This window comes from Homo sapiens, chromosome 18 (genome assembly GCF_000001405.40).
Source record: "Homo sapiens chromosome 18, GRCh38.p14 Primary Assembly".
NCBI lineage: Eukaryota > Metazoa > Chordata > Mammalia > Primates > Hominidae > Homo > Homo sapiens.
Genome location: NC_000018.10, coordinates 38,690,832 through 38,694,086, shown reverse-complemented (window position 1 = coordinate 38,694,086; position 3,255 = coordinate 38,690,832).

The following is a 3,255-nucleotide window of genomic DNA, read 5'->3' as shown; positions in this document are numbered from 1 at the left end:
TCATGGAATAACAAAAACACGTAGGATGATACAAATACCATCTCTCTACAAATGAAAAAAACTAGAGACAGAAGGAATTCTAAAGAAAAATGAGTAAAGTCACAGAAGGGGAGGAGTGAATTTTCTGTGACAATCTGGGATGTGTCAGTAATATACAGGCTCATTTTAAGCAACTTTCTCCAAAACAGTTGCTGAGTGAAATATGAACTTGCTGTGCCTTCGTTTCATTCAACAATACATGAGATAAAAATACTGGGAAGTCAACTTGGCAGAAACTGTGATAGATTCTAGTATATAAGCAAGGGTCATGTGAGACCATCCCAAAGTCCTAAGCAGAATGCTCTAATTGAATCCAGTTGAGAGGACAGAGATGAAAGGTAAGATCACAAGGACATAGTTGTTCTCTAAAAAGGCAGTTTTAAGACTGAAGTTTTTAGATTTTAATCAACAATTGACCAAACCACTAACATATCTAAATGTATGCACCCTCCTTCTCAGGGTCCATTCCTGAGAAATACCATCTCTTGTATCATGGCCCATATCTAAGTCAGCTTTTTCAGGGCTTTTTGAATGCAATTGTTTTTCCTCAGCTTTCTTTACTTCAAGATAGAGACTTCTCTCAGAACACGTTCCAGTTCTCTCTCCCAGGCTGCCACAGCTCTTTAAGCAGACATTTGAAGAACTGTCAGAATCAAGGGACAAAGAGCAGAAAGGGCAGACAAGGGAAGCAGAAGGCAGTGCAAAAAAAATGGGAAGTGCTGCGGTGGCTGGCCATTGTGCCAATTTCATGCTTTCACACCTTTGAATGAGTGTTCAAAGTGTTTCATTTTGGGAGCCTCAGACAGTGGAACACTGATTGCAATGGCTTCAGGCATTTCAGGGCACAGCTGGCCACTCGGCCACCCCTGTGTCCTCGGCGGTTTTCTGAAAATAAGGGAAATAAAATATAGGTTATTTTCAGCTCTGATAGGTGGACCTCACTGTGAACAACTGCAGGATCAGTGTTGTTTTTTCCCTTTCTTTCATTTTCTTTTCTTTTTCAAACACAGACCATGCCACATCATCTTTGAGAAATATGATTTTTTTTTTCACATAGTATGGAAGAAATAGCAGGAAAGGGAGATGCCATTTAAGATAAATAATAACAAATTCTGAGCCTGGGTTATCCCAGTGGTGTAGACAGTCCCAAATTCTGTCTCAGAGAAAAAAAAAAAAAAAAGCTGAGGATGGGGTAGAGAAACATTCTGTAGTTATTGATATAATACATGTACTAAAAAAACTTTTAAATGAATGCTTTTATAAAAAATTATTAAAAGTAATTAAAACTTTTTATTAAAATTCTTTTAATGTTTAGCCATATTACCTTTAGAATAGTGCAGTGATAAATAATGTCCCCATATTATCCCTTCTTCCTGTGTTCTCCCTTTGAAAGCTAAATGTCAGAAGACCTGAATACTAGACCTAGTTCTGCTGTTTACTGCTTGTGTTATGCTGGCAAGTCATTTACTTTCTCCAGGACTTCAATTTCTTGATGCACAAAGTGAGGACTAAAATATCTGTTTTTCTTGTAACATAAAGTCAAAGAATTAGTTAAAACTTGAAGAATTTTAGAGTTCATGTAGTTATTATTTTACAGATCAGAAAGTTACCAATTCACACGTGGTTGGTAGCATGTTCATAATGATCACCCAGCTGTCCTAATTACTAAGGTGTGCTTTACTCACTATTATTATCTTCACTTTTGCTTCACATAAATCTTCCATTTCTATAAATCTAGTCCACTCATCCCTACCCCAACCACCAATATCCTAGCCCTTCTATTTTCCCACAAATGGCCACCATCTTGGAATGCCCTCACGTGTCAATAATATCTACTCTGCTTCATGAGCACAGGAAGTACATCCTCATCACCGCAGCCTTCCTTGACCACCCTTGCAAACACACGTGCTTCTCCTCCTGAACATCATAGCACCTAATAGATCCATAATCTACTGATGCTTAAGTCATCAATCTACAAATCCAATGAATAATGCATATATATTAGTCATGACAAAGGAGCCTGACTCACACTGATTTATGTCCTCAGCAACTGAAATTGTGTCTTAAGTCACAATTTCCTTATATGTCAAAGCGGAAAAATAATAGTGATTATTTCATAGGACTTTTGTAGAGATTAAATTTTATGTGTATATCTATTTCAACATAGAGCAGCGCTTGACCCTTAGTACATTCTACATTATCTTGATAATTTCTATATTATTTGTGATTGTTGATGATGATTATAATGACGATGGTGATAATACCTCGAGGTGATGAAAATGTGTCTTCTGGGTGAGTGCTGACCAATCCCCAAACACTATTCCTAATGGTACTTACCAGAAAGTAAAGCACTAATTAAGGTAAGGGCTCCTTCATCCTTGCTTAAAGAAAATTCTATTCCTTAATTCCATGAATGCTTAAGATTGCCCGAATTTCTTGGCGCCAAACTAAAAATACAATATAATGTAAATTTCTAGAACAACTAAGCCTTAATTGCTTTACCTTATGGTTCTGATTTCTTATAACATTGGTTCATAGATAATAAGAGTTGACAATCGATGACATTTCTGGATCTTTTTAAAACTTTTAAAGATAGAGGGGGTATATAGGCTTCTTTTTCGATCTGAGAAGACATTGGTACCAGAGATATCTTTCCTATACCTAGAATTTCTCTAAACTTTAAACACTAAATTGGAAGTCATAAATCAGGTACCTTGTCATTATGGGATGTCCCCACCAGTGAAAGATGGCATTCTCAACTGAAATTCAGGATATCAACATATTTTTATAACTTTGCTTCTGAGTGTGTGGCAGACAAACCATTTCTTCTTTCTGAGTTGCAATTTTTTCATCTTCAGTATTCTAAGTCCAACTTGACTTAAAAATTTAAGTTTAAAATTCTGACAAAACAATGGTCTTTGGATAAAGGTTAGCAGAAAAATTTCCCACCCAATTTGGGCCAACTTTACATTGCTTAATCCCACAGGTGTTTCTATTAATGGACCAGCATTCCTGTAGTATCAACCCCAGGCTCACAATTAAAATTCCATGATATAAAATTTTACAAAAAATAAGGAGAAAATATATAGAATCTTAGTGGCCCCACTCTGTATCTATAGAGCATGACTAAGCAATCTCGTGTGCCTAGCCCCAGTTAAACAGTTCGTTCATCAACACAATGTAGCTGACAACGTACAGGAAGCCTACAAATTATTG